Raw genomic sequence first — 16,144 nt, 5'->3', positions numbered from 1 at the left:
GCAATCTCAGCCCACTGCAACCTCCGCATCCTGGGTTCAAGAGATTCTCCTGCTTCAGCCTCCTGAGTAGCTGGGATTACAGGCACCCACCACCATGCCCGGCTAATTTTTGTACTTTTAGTAGACATGGGGTTTCATCATGTTGGCCAGGCTGGTCTTGAACTCCTGACCTCAGGTGATCCACCCACCTCGGCCTCCCAAAGTGCTGGGGTTACAGGCGTGAGCCACTGCGCCCGGCCACGCCCGGCCACACATGAGGTATTTGACATTAGCTAGCATCTAGCCTGCACATATGGACACATTTCTTGAATAAATTCATCTGCTTGCTTACCTGATTATAGCAAACAAGGCACAGGTTCAACTATAAATATATGACCTCTTTCCTAGTATCACAGGCTTCTCTCAGAAGCCTAAGAAAGTAAAACTCTAGCAAACCCCCATCCACACCCTCTGGTCCAAGCAAGATTGGGGTTCAGATATACCCTTGCAAGGCCCAGGCTAAGGACTGCCTGGTGGCCTTAGCATAGTGGCATCACTGGACGCAGGACCCCATGCAAGTCTCAATCTGTCCTCTTACCAGTTGCGATCACCTTGTCCACAGGTCCATGAGAAGTCTACCAAGGGGAAAGGAGAGGACGCAGCCTCCCCCATCAGACATACACAACAGCGTGTGTCAGGGGTGCTGCTTGGCAACTGGACAGAGGCCAGGCCCCTTCTCTACAGAGAAAGGCCAGAGGGAAGGGACCATGCTCAGGGCATGTGGGCATCATGCTCCATGCAAACATCCCAGAGCACTAATTAGCATTCTGCCTGGCTCTCCTGCCACCCTCAGGAGAAAAGCCCTCACCCCAGCAGATGCCACTCAAACAGGCAGGGGGAAAGAACTGGAAAGTTCCCTCCCTAGCCCCATCTCATTTCAGATTTAGAAATAGAGAAAGGCAAGATGTGCAGTTTGTCATCGTTACTGACATTCTGGGCCTGGACTGTGGTGTGTGCTACAATTTGAACTCAGGTGCCTGGATCTGAAACATCACACCTCTCATTCAGGGGCTAGGAAGAGGCGCTCAGACAATGGAACCCGAGTGGCTTCCAGTCAAACTGCTTTGCACCAGCAAGGGGTTAATGAGCAGTCATGGGTGGCCACACAATCATAGCCCGCTTTGGGCAGCTCAAGCCCCACAGTCTTGGAAATCAAAAATAAAGCTCTCAAGCTGGGATGAATCAAGTCATTGGATCAACAGGCATGTGTGTGCATGCATGCTCATGTGTGTGCACGCACATACTAGACTCAAGCCCAGGGACAGGATTCAGGAGAGCCAGGAAAACTTCACAAATATTCTTTTTAAAATTCTACCATATCAGCTTGTCACTGAAATCTGAAATTCTACCTTTACCAAATCGTTATTTAGCTAAGGACTCTCTTCTACCTGAGTTTTGTTTTGTTTTTTGAGACGGAGTCTTGCTCTGTCACCCAGGCTGGAGTGCAGTGGCACAATCTCGGCTCACTGCAACCTCTACCTCCTTGGTTCAAGCGATTCTCCTGCCTCAGCCTCCCAAGTAGCTGGGATTACAGGCACCCGCCACCACAGCTGGCTAATTTTTGTATTTTTAGTAGAGACAGTGTTTCATCATGTTGGCCAGGCTGGTCTTGAACTCCTGACCTCGTGATCCACCCACCTCGGCCTCCCAAAGTGCTGGGATTATAGGTGTGAGCCACCACACCCAGCCTGAGTTTTGTTTTAAAATGAAAACACTGCAGGGAAAGGAATTGTTCAGATCTATCCTTCTAGGTGATCACCCTTAGAATCTTGGGAGTAAGGGGGAAGCTAGGGGTAATTTTAAATAAAATAATGCTGGAAGAAGGATAGAAGTTCAGGGCAACAAATTTACCATTAATTGTAGCATAGAGGAATCTCTGTGTATATACTTGAGGGGCCCAAAAATGAGAAAGAAAACCTTTTACACTTTTCACAATCATTAAATGATTTAATCCAAACTCTCATGTTAAAAGCTCACTAAGATGCAGTTTTCAACATGGAAAATTCAATTTTCTGTTGACCCCCTGGGGACCAATATCAGAAAGGTTCCTTTTATTACAAAGTTGAACCACCCTTTCCAAATTGGTAGCTCTCATTCATAAATATGCTACCTTAACATGGGAAAGAGGCTATTGGGAGACAAGATAGAAATCAGAGGCAGAATTCAAACTAAAATCTACTATTCATTCTTTTCCCCTGAGTCCTTGGGTGGAGACCTGAAGGGAACACCCAAAAGCTTTGGGGCCAGGGCTCTATCCAGCTTCCGCTCTTGAGTTATTAGCTGTTTGCCCCTGGGCAAGTTGTCTCACCTCTCCGTGTTTGTTTCCTCACCTATTGGACCAGGCCTATGGTTTTCAAACTGTGTTCCCTGGTGCTCTGAGACTCTGAGATGCCTATAGGGAAGGGGAACGCCCACACTGGCAAGGCTAACACAAGCCGCCATATACCCACCCCACTTCACCCACAGCACCCCCCTTTCTGTGTCTCATATACTGCGGGCCTATGCGAGTTCAATTTGGAAAAAAAAAAAAAAGTTTCTTGTGACTAAAAACGCTTGGGAAGTTTTGAATTAGATGCTTTCCAGGTTCCTTCCAAAGCTAACTTTCTATGACTCACTCTGCTGCCTCATTTGGGAGCATTCCGGCTTAGCGCAGCTGAGGGAGCCCTTTAGTGATGGAAGTGGAGCTCACCTGTGATTCGGCCCACCGTTCCTTTCACGAAGTTGCCTGCATACCCGGCCACGTGCGCTCCGAGGCTGTAGCCGATCAAGTGGACATTCCCGAGAGAAAAATCGTCCTTCTCCTATAGAAAGTCACCAAAGTATGTGAGCAGAAGAGCAGGGTCCAGAGCCCCCAGAATCACCAGCAGTTCAACAACTCAGTCACGGAGCAGGAGGAGATGCAGGGGCCGTGGGCACAGAGACTCCCCAGGGCCCCACTGGCTTTGCTGGTGATGCTACATGTGTGGGTCACAGCCAGCTTAGGGGAGGCCAAAAGGACTTGGTGGCACTGCAAATGCCAAGTGTGGGGACAGGGTGGAGGGTATGACTGGAGGCTGCATATGTGGCTGTTCCCTACACATTTCCTGTTCTTTCTGGCAGTATCTAAGAGAGGGGAGGGTGATGGTGAGGAGGTCAAAGCTGCCGTACTCACTGGAGACTGCAGTGCCAACCACAGCCCTCAGCAGAATGCCCTCTGCCTGCCCTCTAAGGCCTGACCTCCACCCAGCCCCAGGAGCTGCCAACCTCCTCCTCACAAGCCCATGTGGGACCCCAGACTTGACGCATTGTCCCCTGTCAGAGCACTCATCTGGGGGGTAAGGAGGTAACCCCATGGCTCGGAAACCAAACTCTATAGAAGAGCTTAGGTAGAGGACAGAGGGACTGCTCGAGAATCCTGACCAGAATTCTGCCAGAATTCATCCCATTCCATGGGAACAAGGAAGGCCAGGCCGGAATTGCCCAGATAATGGTGCCGCTTTGACAGTGTACCCTGCCCTGCCTTCTCCCAGCTAAATCCACTGATCTCAGGCAGATTATTAACCTATTAAAAGTAAATAGGCTGGGTGCGGTGGCTCACGTCTCTAATCCCAGCACTTTGGGAGGCCGAGGCAGGCAGATCACCTGAGGTCAGGAGTTAGAAACTAGTCTGGCCAACATGGTGAAACCCCATCTCTACTAAAAATACAAAAATTAATTGGGCATGGTGGCTCACACCTGTAAAACCAGCTACTTGGGAGTCTAAGGCAGGAGAATTGCTTGAACCCAGGAGGTAGAGGTTGCAGTGAGCCAAGATCATGGCACTGCACTCCAGCCTGGGTGACAGCGAGACTCTGTCTCAAAAAAAAAAGTAAATATAAGACTTCAAGATCTGTTTTCCACACTTCATATTATAAAAGAGGTATCAGGCAGGCTGGGCACGGTGGCTCATGCCTGTAATCCCAGTACTTTGGGAGGCCTAGGCAGGCAGATCATGAGGTCAGGAGATCAAGACCATCCTGGCTAACACAGCGAAATCCCATCTCTACTAAAAATACAAAAAAATTAGCTGGGCATGGTGACACAGGCCTGTAGTTTCAGTTACTCGGGAGGCTGAGGCAGGAGAATCGCTTGAACCTGGGAGGTGGAGGTTGCAGTGAACCAAGATCACACCACTGTACTCCAGCCTGGGCAACAAAACAAGACTCCATCTCAAAGAAAAGAGATATTAGGCTGCATTTTTGAAATAACCCCCTCCCCACCCTCAGCACAGCCATGCTTCAGAGACAAGAGCAGTCTTTGTAGGAATTTCAGATCACAAGCCTGGCCTGGTTCCTGGCCATCCCCAACCAACCTAAGGGCATCTGTTTCTAAGATCAGGAAGAAACAACCCATAAGGCCAATTTTCAGCAAATTAAGTAACAGGAAAAATCCAGAGATCTATCAATAATTAAAAGGCTCTCAAAAAGTCCCAGCTTTCAAGTATTCCAAACAATACTTAATTCAATAAAACTTTTAATCTCAAAGATTTTTATCAGACTCCAGAAGTTCATGGCAACAGATGCATGACCTGCATTTCTTAAGAAGATTGGGTTTGAGATCCTGCTGGTGACAGGAGACTCCCTCTCATCCCCCAGTACCTGCAGCCAGTCGAGCATCCTGGCAATGCTGTGTCCCACCACCCTGGTATTATTGACCGCATCCGTGTAAAGCTGGTGGGCCAGGGGGAGCCAGTCAACCACAACTACATTGGCGTCTTTCTCTCTTGTGTGCAGGGCTGACACGAGTTTGTGCAGCCAGTTTTCAAAGATACCGCTCATCTGCAGAGAAAAGTGGAAGTTGTTTTTTATTCTTGGTTTCAGAAATCCTAAAAAATATGGAATTCCTTTCTATATGACCCTCTTCCCAATTAATTTTTTTTTTTTGACTCAGGGTCTCACTCTGTTGCCCAGGCTGGAGTGCACTGACAACAATCTCAGCTCATGATAGCCTCCAACTCCTGAGCTGAGGTGATCCTCCCACCTCAGCCTCCAGAGTGACTGGGTTACAGGCATATGCCACCATGCCTGGGTAATTTTTAAACTTTTTGCAGCAACAGGGTCTCACTATGTTGCCCAGGCTGGTCTTGAACTCCTGGGCTCAAGCGATCTTCCCACCTAGGCCTTCCAGAGTGCTGGGATTATAGGCGTGAGCCACCATGCCCAGTGCCCCCAGACAATTTTAGAATCTGCACATTGGCTGCTCAGGGACCAAACATTTGCACATGAGCAGGACCAGCACAGGCAGAATCACTACGCAGGTATTTGTCTTCCATTGCTCCTTACATCCCCAGTATTTCCCATCAAAACTTTCCTAGCTAATGTCCTATACTGTTGCCCCACTGTCTGTTAGGGCCACTATGAGATACGTGTTAAGGGTGATACTGGCATGAGGCTGGTCTGAGTCCCTGTTACAGGCAGGCAAGTGGCCTGGTCCATCCTTCAAAGGCAGCTAGGGAGGGTTGCCCTGGAAAATTGCTTCTCTCTTAGAGACGCAGGGAGATGCTGTCTCCTAGGTGAATGCAGAGTTAACAAATGACCCCTTCCCACAACCCATCTCTGCCATCCCTCTTGACCCCAGAGTAGGGAAAATCTGTCCCCGGAATCCCAAATTACAACTCAGAATGTATTTTTCCACAGAAACAAAGTTATAAATGGTGACTAGGTCCAGTTGTAAACCTATCCACAAGCACATTATCAAATAGATAGATTTTCTGTGCCTAGCCTGGGAACCCAAACACCATTTACAATCTTGCTTCTGTGGGAAACTGCTGTTCCAAGTTCCAAACAGATTACAAAAGAACTTTCTGGAATGCAACCTACTTGTAAGTCGCAGGCAGCTTGTATTTGCATTTTGACAGGGGGCCTTAAAAAGATTCACACATATGATTCTGATTGTAGGTTGTGTGATGAGCAGGGTTAGACAGGCTCTTAATCATCTCTTCATTCAACTAGGTAGGCAGGCACCTACCCTCTCCTGCCCCTGACCTCAACCATGGATGACAGATTTAAAGACCCCAAAAGCATGTAACAGATATGAATTTCTCATCATTAAGAGGAGGACTGTCCCCTTCCAATTAGCCCAGGCAGAAATCTGCTCACTTAATAGTGCCATTTCCCTACAGACTGTCATTATATGAATGAATAAATTCCTGGCTGGTCAAAAGCTTCTGAAGCTGAGCACTAAAGCCCTTTTTTGTTGAAGTTTGTCATGGGCTTTTCAATGTGAATTGCTCAGCTAGGGCACATAAAGAGCCCCAGTGCCTTTAAACGGGGCTATCTCTATGCAAACAGGAGGGCACTATGCCAAGGGCAGTCAGCAATCCAGGCCAGCTGGCTACTCATAGGTTCTCAGAGCCAGTCAAGTTGCTTTAGTTAAGCTCAGCTCTCACGGCAGGACAGCCCCCTCCAGGCAGTGGTTGACCAGCGTAATTAAGTGTAATTAGAGGGGTCCTTAAGAGCCAGTGGAGCTGGGCTGCTGCCCTCAGGAGAGCCACTTTCTGAAAGCCCGTTGTATGCCATCATTAATACCACCCTGCTGGAGTCCAGATTGCCCCTTAGTGAATGCCCGTTACATTCTTCACAGCTGTCTGAAATACAAGCAGCCCACAAGGAAAGGGGGGAAGAGGGTTTGGAATCTGGAAACACCAGAATTCTTTCTAATTGACCAAAACAAAGGGAATCAAATCTTATATAAAGCCGCAGAGCTCCCTCCCCGGGCTCACCGTCCATCCGTGAATGATGAAAAAGGTTTTAGCTGTCATGTTGAAACTGCAGTCTTCTAAGGGCTGGCTGTGGCCGACGGAGAGGTAGCATCCTTCATGCTCTGGGTCCTTGGAGGTGCGGAGGTTAAACCTCACAGATGGTTTGACCTCAGTCTGTGTAGCTTTGGGTTTGTGGAGCTTATCTGGGGAGACAGAACAGAGCGTGGGTGCATCTAGCAGACTTGCGGAGTGAGAGACCTGGGGTCTGATTCTAGTTCAATCGTGAGCAATTTGCTTAAGCCATCTGGGTTTCGGTTTTTACATCTGCTGAATGTTCCCTTTTCACCTCCCAGAAAAACTGTGAACATTTTATAAAAAAGGACATCTCATTTATACTTAAAGAGTATTAATTAGTCACTAGTATTAATTACTGTCACTCTGAAATAAATAGATCTCTCTCTTGCATTTCCCTCTTCTTTCCTATCAAAAGGAGTTCTACTTCCTTCCTACTTTTAGAGTACAGGTTCTCAGTTCTTTTTCTGAAATGCTTGGGACCAGGTGAGTTTCAGAATTTAGAAGTTTTCAGATTTTAGAAAGGCATCATGGAGCATACACCATATATTATATAATGCTGCCAGTGGGGCCTGGGCTATTCCCCCTGGATCAAACATCCTAATATTTCTGCAGAGAATACATAACCACTCACATTTGAGGGCAAATATAAAGATAACCAATAGCCTCCTGTTATCTCAGGCCAGGTTTTTGCTGCCAAATAAGTTCAGATCAGGTAAGGCCAGGTCTTGCTGCCAAACAAGTTACCAAACACATTTTCCAATTTTGAGAGTTTGTGGATTTTGGAATTGGAGGCAAGAGGCTGTTGACCTGCTGGAAAATAGGCTTCCCCTAGTGTTCCCATCTAGGGAAACTCAGGCATCCTCAGTGCCCTTTCTAGTGATGGCATGTGCCAGGCATTCATCTGGTTTGTTAAGTAAATGACTAAAGCCATGGAGAAACTCCTAAAAGCAACAAAAATCCCCCCTTCCAGCTTCACTGCTCATGCACAGTGCCACCTAGGAGACGGCCCTGCTCCCAAAGTGCAGCTCATGTCACTGATGGCCACTGTGGCTTAACACTAAGTAGGTGCTGTCATCATGACACCGTTTCAGAAAGTCATAAATGGACCCCACCCAGCACTCTTTCAGCCATCCTGGGATGCATCACTGGATAACTGGCTAGAAAGTGAGAGTATCAAACTCTCCTATCACCCAGCAGGGAAAGATGCCAAATGACCATCTTGGAGTTAATTTATCTCAGAGTTAAGAAGCAAAAGGAAGAAGATACCAAAAGGAAAGAGATATAGTGGTGGAGAGGGCGGAGGGGAAAGGAGGGAGAGAGGGGGAAGAATGCAGCAGATGTAAGAGGGATAAGGTTCCAGAAAATGCTGCTGAATGCACATGAGCGGAAGTCAGGTTAACCGTCATGAAAGTAATGAACAAAAGCCCCAACCAGCAGAAATTTGAACCACGGACATAATGAGTTCGACAACTCCCCACCTTCTACCCAGATAGCCACTCATGCAGAGGCCAGATGGGGAAACCTAGGAGAAAAGAAGTCTCCTGGATTCCTGAGACAGATCTGCGGATAAACCCACATATGGACAAAGACTCTTCCTCTTAGAGTCTGACCTGCTCTGACCCCAAAGTTCTCTAGGTACATTCCTACTACTTTTGGCCTGGGTCACTTCAGCCTCTGGGACTTTCTGATTGTTCCTCACCCAGATGTCCTCATGGCTCCTTCTCTCACCCCCTTCAGCTCTTTGCTCAATGGTCAACTTCTCCAGAAAGGCCTTCCCTGACCACATCATAAAATCGCACCACCTTCCCCCACCAACATGCCCCACCTTCCTCCTCTGCTTGATTTTTCTCCATAATACTGAGCACCACTGATACTTTAATCAGTGCACTGTCTGTCTTCCCACCACTGAAATGTAAGTGTCACAAGGGCACAGATTGCCATCTATTTTGTCCACTGCTCTCTCCCCTGCTCCCAGAATAGTGTCTGACACTAAGTAGGTATGCAGTAAATACTTTTTGCAATGAAGGAAATGACTCACACATACTCAGAGGCCCAGAACACAGAAGTTAGAAGGAACTTTAGCATTTTACAGGTGAGGAGCCAGAGATGAGACCTGCCCTAGGCAATGCTTCTAGTTAGCACCAGAGTTGGAAACATGTTGAGTAAAGCAAGGCTTTCCATTCATTCACAGTAACCCTCCCACACATACACAAGCCCACACAGACCATTTGGCACAACCTCAGCAGACTAGAAGATGAGATGATGGGGTTCAGTTTAGAGGCTCCCCAGCCCTCCACTGCTTATCAGCTGACTTAGTTCTCACTCTGATTCTGACTCCCCCAGAGCTGACTGACTCTGGCTCCCCCAGGGCAAGCTGCCTCCACTGGCAAAGGCTGCCATACAGAACCCAAGAGGAAGAGAAGCTAAAAGCCAGGAGGAGGAAAGGGAGGAGGAGTGGGAAGAGGAAGAGTCGGGGGAGCACAAGAGTGTTGAAGAGGAAAAGGCTGGCAACCTGGGGGAATAGGCCCGGCAGCTTCTAAGCACAAGCGACCCACCAGACGCTCCCTGCAAGCACGAATCAAACCAAAGCCAGCTACCCTGCCACCTGAACTTTCAAGACACCTACACCAAGATTAAAAGGCAGCTCCAGGAGACACAGCTCTGACAGCCTTCTTGCCTCTCAAACCTCCAGGTTCAGGCATGAGGACAAGGTTTCAGAGCTGCTGCCAGGCCGCTCGGCTGGCTGGACAGCACCAGCACTGGCTTAGGGAGCCGTATAAGGGAAGGAGGTGGGGGTGGGAGGGCTGGCAAGAGCCAGCGCACCCTGCCAGCCTTTGCCTTTTGCATGACTTGCCGGGAATGCCCCCATCAGACCAGCAGAGAGACAGGTGGACTCCAAGGTGGATTGGAGGAGAGAATGGGCAGCGCAGTGGGAAAGGAAGAATTTCATAGGAACAAGGAGGGTTTGAAGAATCAGCAAGACAGAGGGGACCCAGCACAGAGAAGTGGCTGGGGGGAATAAAAACAAATTCACGTTACCTTCCAGCCGTCCCTCTGGACCAAAAGGTACGGGGCTCCCCGCAGCAAAGCAATAGCAGAGGCTCCAGAAACAGAGCAGAGGAACGGAGTTGCTCATCCTGCCCCGCCACACCCCCTCCCAAGAAACAGAAGTTTTAAAAAACAAAAACCACCTCTTGGTGTTTCCAGCAATCCCGGCCGGTAAGACCCTTCTCTCGGCCAGGGGCTGGGGGACTGGAGGCAGAGAAGGTGGAAAATGAAAACTTGGCGGCACGGAGCCCGGGCGGTGGCAGGGAGCGAGTGTCAACGGCTTGCCCCAGAACGAGATCTGCCCTCGTCCTGAGCCGCCGGGAGGCAAGGACTCGCTGCTGTCACGCTCCTATAGAGGTAGTTTTTAAAAGTATGGGAGTCATCTGACCCATCGCCAGATGGTGATTTGCATAATTTATTCCCGTCTCTGGGCTCTGATTGGTCACACCTTGCTGACGCCGGAACCGAGACTGGAGAAAGTTTGAATGAAAGCGCTGCACACTCACCGCGTGGACGCCGCACGCTCGGCCCCGCTTCCTCCCGGGCCCGCTCCGCAGGCAGCTGCGACTCCAGCAGCTCCAGCTTTCTCCCACTGCCCTCCTCCGGACACCCAGATCCTCCTCTCCCCACTGCCATCCCAAGTGGCGGAGGCGGACATTTCCCTGAAACTCTGCGTCCGCTGGGGAGGCGATCCCTGGAGAAGGAGAGCATCCTCTCCAAGGCTCAAAGCCACACTCTCTCTGGGAGTGGTCTATCCGCTCCCTGGGCCGGGAGTCCGTCGGGGGAGAGCCACCTGGTCATCCCCTTTGTCCTCCTCTTCTCCCTCCCTTCCCGCCTAGCGAGGGCCGCAACAGGTGCAGAAGGCGCGGCCGCACAATAACCCGGCGGAGCTAAGGGGCTGTGAGCTGCGGCCGGCGCTGGAGGATCGCACAGTACCTGCTCGGAATGCTCGCTCCGCCACTAGCTGCAAAACTCCAAGCGAGCCAGCCAGCTTCTCCGAGGCGGTTCTCTCGTCCGCAATACGTGGGTGATAATGTATCGGCGGCTTAGGGATGTTGGGAAAACTAAGAGTTCACGTAGCAAAGCACTTAGCGAGGCGCGGAGCTCGTGGCAGGCGCTCTCCTACGGTGGGGTGGAGGGCTACGGGAACACCAGGCGACCTCCTCAAAGGGACCAGTGAGCCGAGATTTGGAGTCTAAGACGCGTGGCCAGAGCCCAGTGTCTGCCGATGAGCACTCACTCCTTGGCGAGTGAAATCAAGCATCTCCTTTCTCTCTGTTCTCCATCATTTCCTCCCGGCTCTCCTTCCCTTTATTGATCCGGGTCCTGCGGCAGAAAGCAGCGAGCGGAGGGAGAACTTGGCCCGGAGTCTGCGTCTGGCGCTGGGGAGCGGGGACTGAGCCCGGAACACCGACGGGGCGGCTGCGCCAACAACCACTGCGGACGCAGGGCGGGTACGAGAGGCTGAGAGGCTGCGTCCCGCCATCCAGCCTCGCTCCAGCCGGGAGGATCCGGCTCTTTAAGACGATACCCTTAACCCTGCAGTCGCCCGGAACAGGTCCTGCCCCTGCCTGGGGAGGGAAAACCCCCACAGCAGTCCCGCGCCCCTTCCTCCCTAGCGTCGAGGATCCAGCTGGAGAGACCTGTGCGAGGAAACCGAGCCGGAGCCAGCAGATCCTGTTCCGACCTCGCCTCATTACTTTTGTTACTCCAGCTGCCAGCAGAGCACGCTTTGTCCCTCCCGTGTGCTATCATTCATTAACAAGACTCAGGCGGGCTTTAGTTTTTTAGTATAGAACTCAATGGTCTGTGTGCGATGGTAAATATCACCCCCGGATATGTTGTTCCCACTCTGTCTCTCTCTTCATGAGGAAACTATACAGACATAGGTCTAATGTTATCTCCATTTTACAGATGGGAAAACTGAGTCATGGGGACAGGCTGCAGATTTGAAGAAAGTCTCAAGACAACCAGGTCTCTCTTCTCTGCTCTAGGTTCAATTTGGCCAATTGACCTTTAAATGTGAGCTCTTGGCAACCTGGTCTAGTGGCTGAGGCAGGGGGTAAGCTGTAGTCAAAAGTCCTCTTCCCTAACCCTGGCAACATAGACACTCATCTCTACCAAAAAAAATTTTTAAATTAGCCAGGCAAGGTGGTACACCTGTAGTGCAAGCTATTAATACTTGGGAGGCTGAGGCGGAAGGAGTCCTTGAGCCCAGGAGTTCAGGGCTGCAATGTACCATGATCACACCACTACACTCCAGCCTGGACATCAGAAGAAAAAAACTCCTTCCCTGTTCTGAGTTGCTCATAGCCATGGTCCCTAGAACATTAACTGGATAATGTGGAGAGTGTGTCTTGAGAGCCTTTGTTATAGGTGAGATACCCCCACGGAAGCTAGGGTATTTTGCAGGGTATTGTTGGAAGGTAGTCCTGCAAAGTTAGTTATCCTGCCTAGAAAAAAAGAAAAACCCGGCCGGGCGCAGTGGCTCACACCTGTAATCCCAACACTTTGGGAGGCCGAGGCGGGCGGATCACCTGAGGTCAGAAGTTCGAGACCAGCCTGACCAACATGGAGAAACTCCATCTCTACTAAAAATACACAAAAAATTAGCTGGGCGTGGTGGCGCATCCCTATGATCCCAGCTACTCGGGAGGCTGAGGCAGGAGAATCGCGTGAGCCTGGGAGGCGGAGGTTGTGGTGAGCCAAGATCGCACCATTGCACTCCAGCCTGGGCAACAAGAGTGAAACTCCTTTGCAAATAAATAAATAAGTAAATGAAAAACCTGTGTTTTACAGGTTCAACAAATCAACATCTATTTTTTAACTGCCAAGGCTATGAAACCATTTAGGTTTTATTGCTAGTTGGTTAGAGTGCCCTCCTGTGTCTCCACATTAAAATAACATGCGAGAATTTTCAAAGGACATCATGAAATTATAATTGTAGCATTAGAATGTATGATGTCAACTGTTCTGCTTCATCCTTCCCAAGAACAAGGAGATCTGAAGAGCCTCTCGCCTGGAGGAGTTCCAGCTGAGGAGTCTTGATGGAACTTCTGCTGTGTTGCAGTCAAAATTTCAAGGTCTCAGACAACACAAGGAAAGGGTTCCATCCTTATGTGGCAGCCCAGCATCTAAAGACCCTTCCAATGTTAAAGGAATAAATCTTCTGCTTATGATAAGACCCAACTCTCCACTAAAAAAAAGCTCAAAAGCAATTGCTCACCTTCCCAGCCCCAGCCTCTCTTGCAGCTAGAGTCCCCGATTCAAACTCAGTCAACTGAACTCTGAACTGGAAACTAATGAGGCTGGAAGCACATACCCACGCCACTCTGCCAATGGACAGCCAGCTCTGGTTCTCTGGGGCAGCAGTGGAGTCACCCCCAGACTAGTCTGCAGTGGGATTTGGGACATTGCTGTCTGCCTGAGTATATCCTCCAAGCCTGGTTCTTCTGCCCTGCAGATTCCAGTTGTTACCCAATATTCTCTTAATGAGGTCCTCTTTTACATACATTATCCAGAGACTGTTTATATTCTTACAACCAAGAAAATGACTTAATTGCCAGAAGCTTATTGAGCAGCTGCTAGGGAGGAAACACTGGCCTGGAGACCATGCCTGTGCTCTCACAGACACAATACAGAAAGTTACAAGTGCCAGAAGGCTGGCTGGTATGTAGGAGTTCCCAGATATCTGGACCAATGCTGTCCAACAGAAATATATAATACAAACCGCATGTCTTGGTCAGTTTGGGCTGCCAGAACAGTATACCATAGACTTAGTGGCTTTAAACAGAAATTTATTTTCTCATAGTTCTGGAGACTAGAAGTCCAAGATCAGGGTACCAGCATAGTCGGTTTCTGGTGAGGGCCCTCTTTCTGGCTTATAGATGGCTGCCTTCTCACTGTGTCCTCACATGGCAGAGAGAGAGAGAGGAGAGAGAGAGAGAGAGAGAGAGAGAGAGAGAAAGAACACGCTGATGTCTCTTCCAATAACAACTCTAATCCCATCATGGTGCCTCACCTCATAACCTCATCTAAACCAAATGATCTCCCACAGGCCCCATCTCCAAATACATCATAGGGAGTTAGGGCTTCAACATAGGAATTTGAGGGGGTCCCAATTCAGTCCATAGCGGCACATGTATAATTTTATGTTTCCTAGTGGTCCTATTATAAAGGTAAAAAGAAACACATGAAATTAAAATTAAGTGGCTGGGTGTGGTGGCTCACGCCTGTAATCCTGGCACTTTGGGAGGCCAAAGTGGAAGGATGGCTTGAGGCTAGGCATTTGAGACCAGCCAGGGCAACATAAGGAGACCTCATCTCTACCCAAATAAATAAGTAAAAACATTTTTAAAAAGAAATTAATATTAATAATATATTTTACTTAACCCAACATGTCCAAAATATTATTTCAACATGTTGCCAATATAAAAAAATTATTGAGATATTTTACATTTTTGTTTTGAAATCCAGTGTGTATTTTACACTTACAGCACATGTCAGTTCGGACTAGCCATATTCAAGGGCTCAATAGCCACATGTAGCTGGTTGCTACCATATTGGACAGCATAGATCTACAATGTTAAAACTAAAATAAACCTTAGAGATCATTTAGTACAACCATCTCACTTTACAGATAATGATCCCAAGACCCAGCCACATTCACTGACTTGCTCAAGGTCACACAGTTGGTAAAAAGTCAGGGATGGAACACAATGTTGGGTTACTAATTCCATTTCTTTCTTTTTTTTTTTTTTTTTGAGACAGCGTCTCACTCTGTCACTCAGACTGGAGTGCAGAGACAAAATTATGGCTCACTGCAGCCTCAAATTCCTGAGCTCAAGTGATCTTCCCACCTCAGCCTCCCAAGCTACTAGACTACAAGTGCCTGCCACCATGCCCAGCTATTTATTTATTTATTTATTTATTTATTTATTTATTGAGATGAAGTCTTGCTCTGTCCCCCAGGCTAGAGTACAGTGGTGTGATCTCAGCTCACTGCAACCTCCACCTCCAGGGTTCAAGCAAGTCTCCTGCCTCAGCCTCCCAAGTAGCTGGGATTACAGGTACGCACCACCACACCAAGCTAATTTTTGTATTTTTAGTAGAGGTGGGGTTTCACTGTGTTAGCCAGACTAGTGTTGAACTCCTGACCTCAGGTGATCCACCTGCCTCGGCCTCTCAAAGAGTTGGAATTACAGGCGTGAGCCACCATGCCTGACCTTATTTTCTTTTATGTTTTTGTAGAGACAGGGTCTCGCTATGTTGCTCAGGCTGGTCTCAAACTCCTGGGCAAACGATCCTCCTGACTGGGCCTCCCAAAGCACTGAGATTACAGGTGTAAGCCATGGCACCCAGCCTCTAATTCCAAGATCGGTGCTTTTCCCATGGCCTCTCCCCATTCAAATACAGAAAAGATGATGAAGGACTGAGAGGACCAGACTTAGTAGAAGACCTGAAAAAAAAAACATACCATTGCCTGAAAAAACTAATACAAACATGACCCCTTCAAATACTCACTGAATACCTACCACATTTCTGGCATTGTTCTAGGTGCTGTAGAAAACTCAAAAAGAAATGACAAATATAAATGAATGCACAGTTTACTCAACTCTGAATTCCAAGTGCAGAGAAGAGAAAAAGTATTAAGTGAAGCAAATTGATAGGACAGACCATTAGAGGCAGGTAAGACTTGGGAAGACCTTAAAGGAAGAAAAGCTCTTACTTTTTGGCTCTTGGCTAGCACTTGGATCCTCCTGAGTTATTTGCTGCCTACAAAGTTTAGAAAGGGAATGCCAAGCTTCCACCAGGCGGCATCTCTATGCTTCCCTGGTCTCATGGATAACATGTAGCCTTGGCTATCCCCTCAATAAGTTGAGAGGCCTGAAACCTCCAACTGCTTAAGGGTTTTTCAGGGGGTTTTCTGGGTGTTTGTTTTTTTTTTTTTTTGAGACAGCATCTCGTTCTGTCTCCCAGGCTGGAGTGCAGTGGTTTGACCATAGCTCACTGCAGCCTTGAACTTCTGAGCTCAAACATTCCTCCCACCTCAGCTTCCCAAGTAGCTGGAACCATAGGTGTATGCTGCCACACCCAGCTAATTTTTCTTTTTGGTTTTTTATAGAGACAGAGTCTCACTATGTTGTCCAGTCTGGTCTTGAACTCCTGGCCTCAAGCCATCCTCCTGCCTCAGCCTCCCCAGTATCTGAGACTACAAGCATAAGCCACCGTAACTGGCTCTTGCTTAAGTTTATATTAGCAGCA

The 16,144-nt window shown here is 48.6% G+C and overlaps 1 protein-coding gene across 3 annotated transcripts in view, besides 1 other annotated feature; it reads right to left on the bottom strand.

Moving 5' to 3' along the window:
• Nucleotides 1-10,798, bottom strand: part of LIPG (lipase G, endothelial type) — a 37,707-nt gene extending 26,909 nt beyond the window's left edge. For 2 of the 3 annotated variants that reach the window (NM_006033.4, NM_001308006.2), the window contains exons 1-4: nucleotides 9,872-10,220; nucleotides 6,779-6,960; nucleotides 4,656-4,835; nucleotides 2,729-2,840 (exon numbers count right to left, since the gene is read on the bottom strand). In NM_006033.4, the coding sequence (NP_006024.1) occupies nucleotides 2,729-2,840; nucleotides 4,656-4,835; nucleotides 6,779-6,960; nucleotides 9,872-9,968 (571 nt within the window). In that variant the 5' untranslated portion in view covers nucleotides 9,969-10,220. Of the gene's footprint in view, nucleotides 1-2,728; nucleotides 2,841-4,655; nucleotides 4,836-6,778; nucleotides 6,961-9,871; nucleotides 10,221-10,386 lie in introns of those variants that run through there. The other variant, XM_047437944.1, reaches the window with a different exon arrangement.
• Nucleotides 9,513-10,013: an enhancer, noted in NCBI's record as "H3K4me1 hESC enhancer chr18:47088634-47089134 (GRCh37/hg19 assembly coordinates)". NCBI's record gives its function as "activates a minimal SCP1, AML or CMV promoter by ChIP-STARR-seq in primed H9 embryonic stem cells {active_cell/tissue: H9 hESC(primed)}" and the evidence as "EXISTENCE:reporter gene assay evidence [ECO:0000049][PMID:30033119]".
• Nucleotides 10,799-16,144: the final 5,346 nt, after the last annotated feature.

Source organism: Homo sapiens, chromosome 18 (genome assembly GCF_000001405.40).
Source record: "Homo sapiens chromosome 18, GRCh38.p14 Primary Assembly".
Classification (NCBI taxonomy): Eukaryota; Metazoa; Chordata; class Mammalia; order Primates; family Hominidae; genus Homo; species Homo sapiens.
The sequence above is the reverse complement of the archived record's forward strand: the minus strand, read 5'-3'. Positions and strand labels throughout refer to the sequence as shown.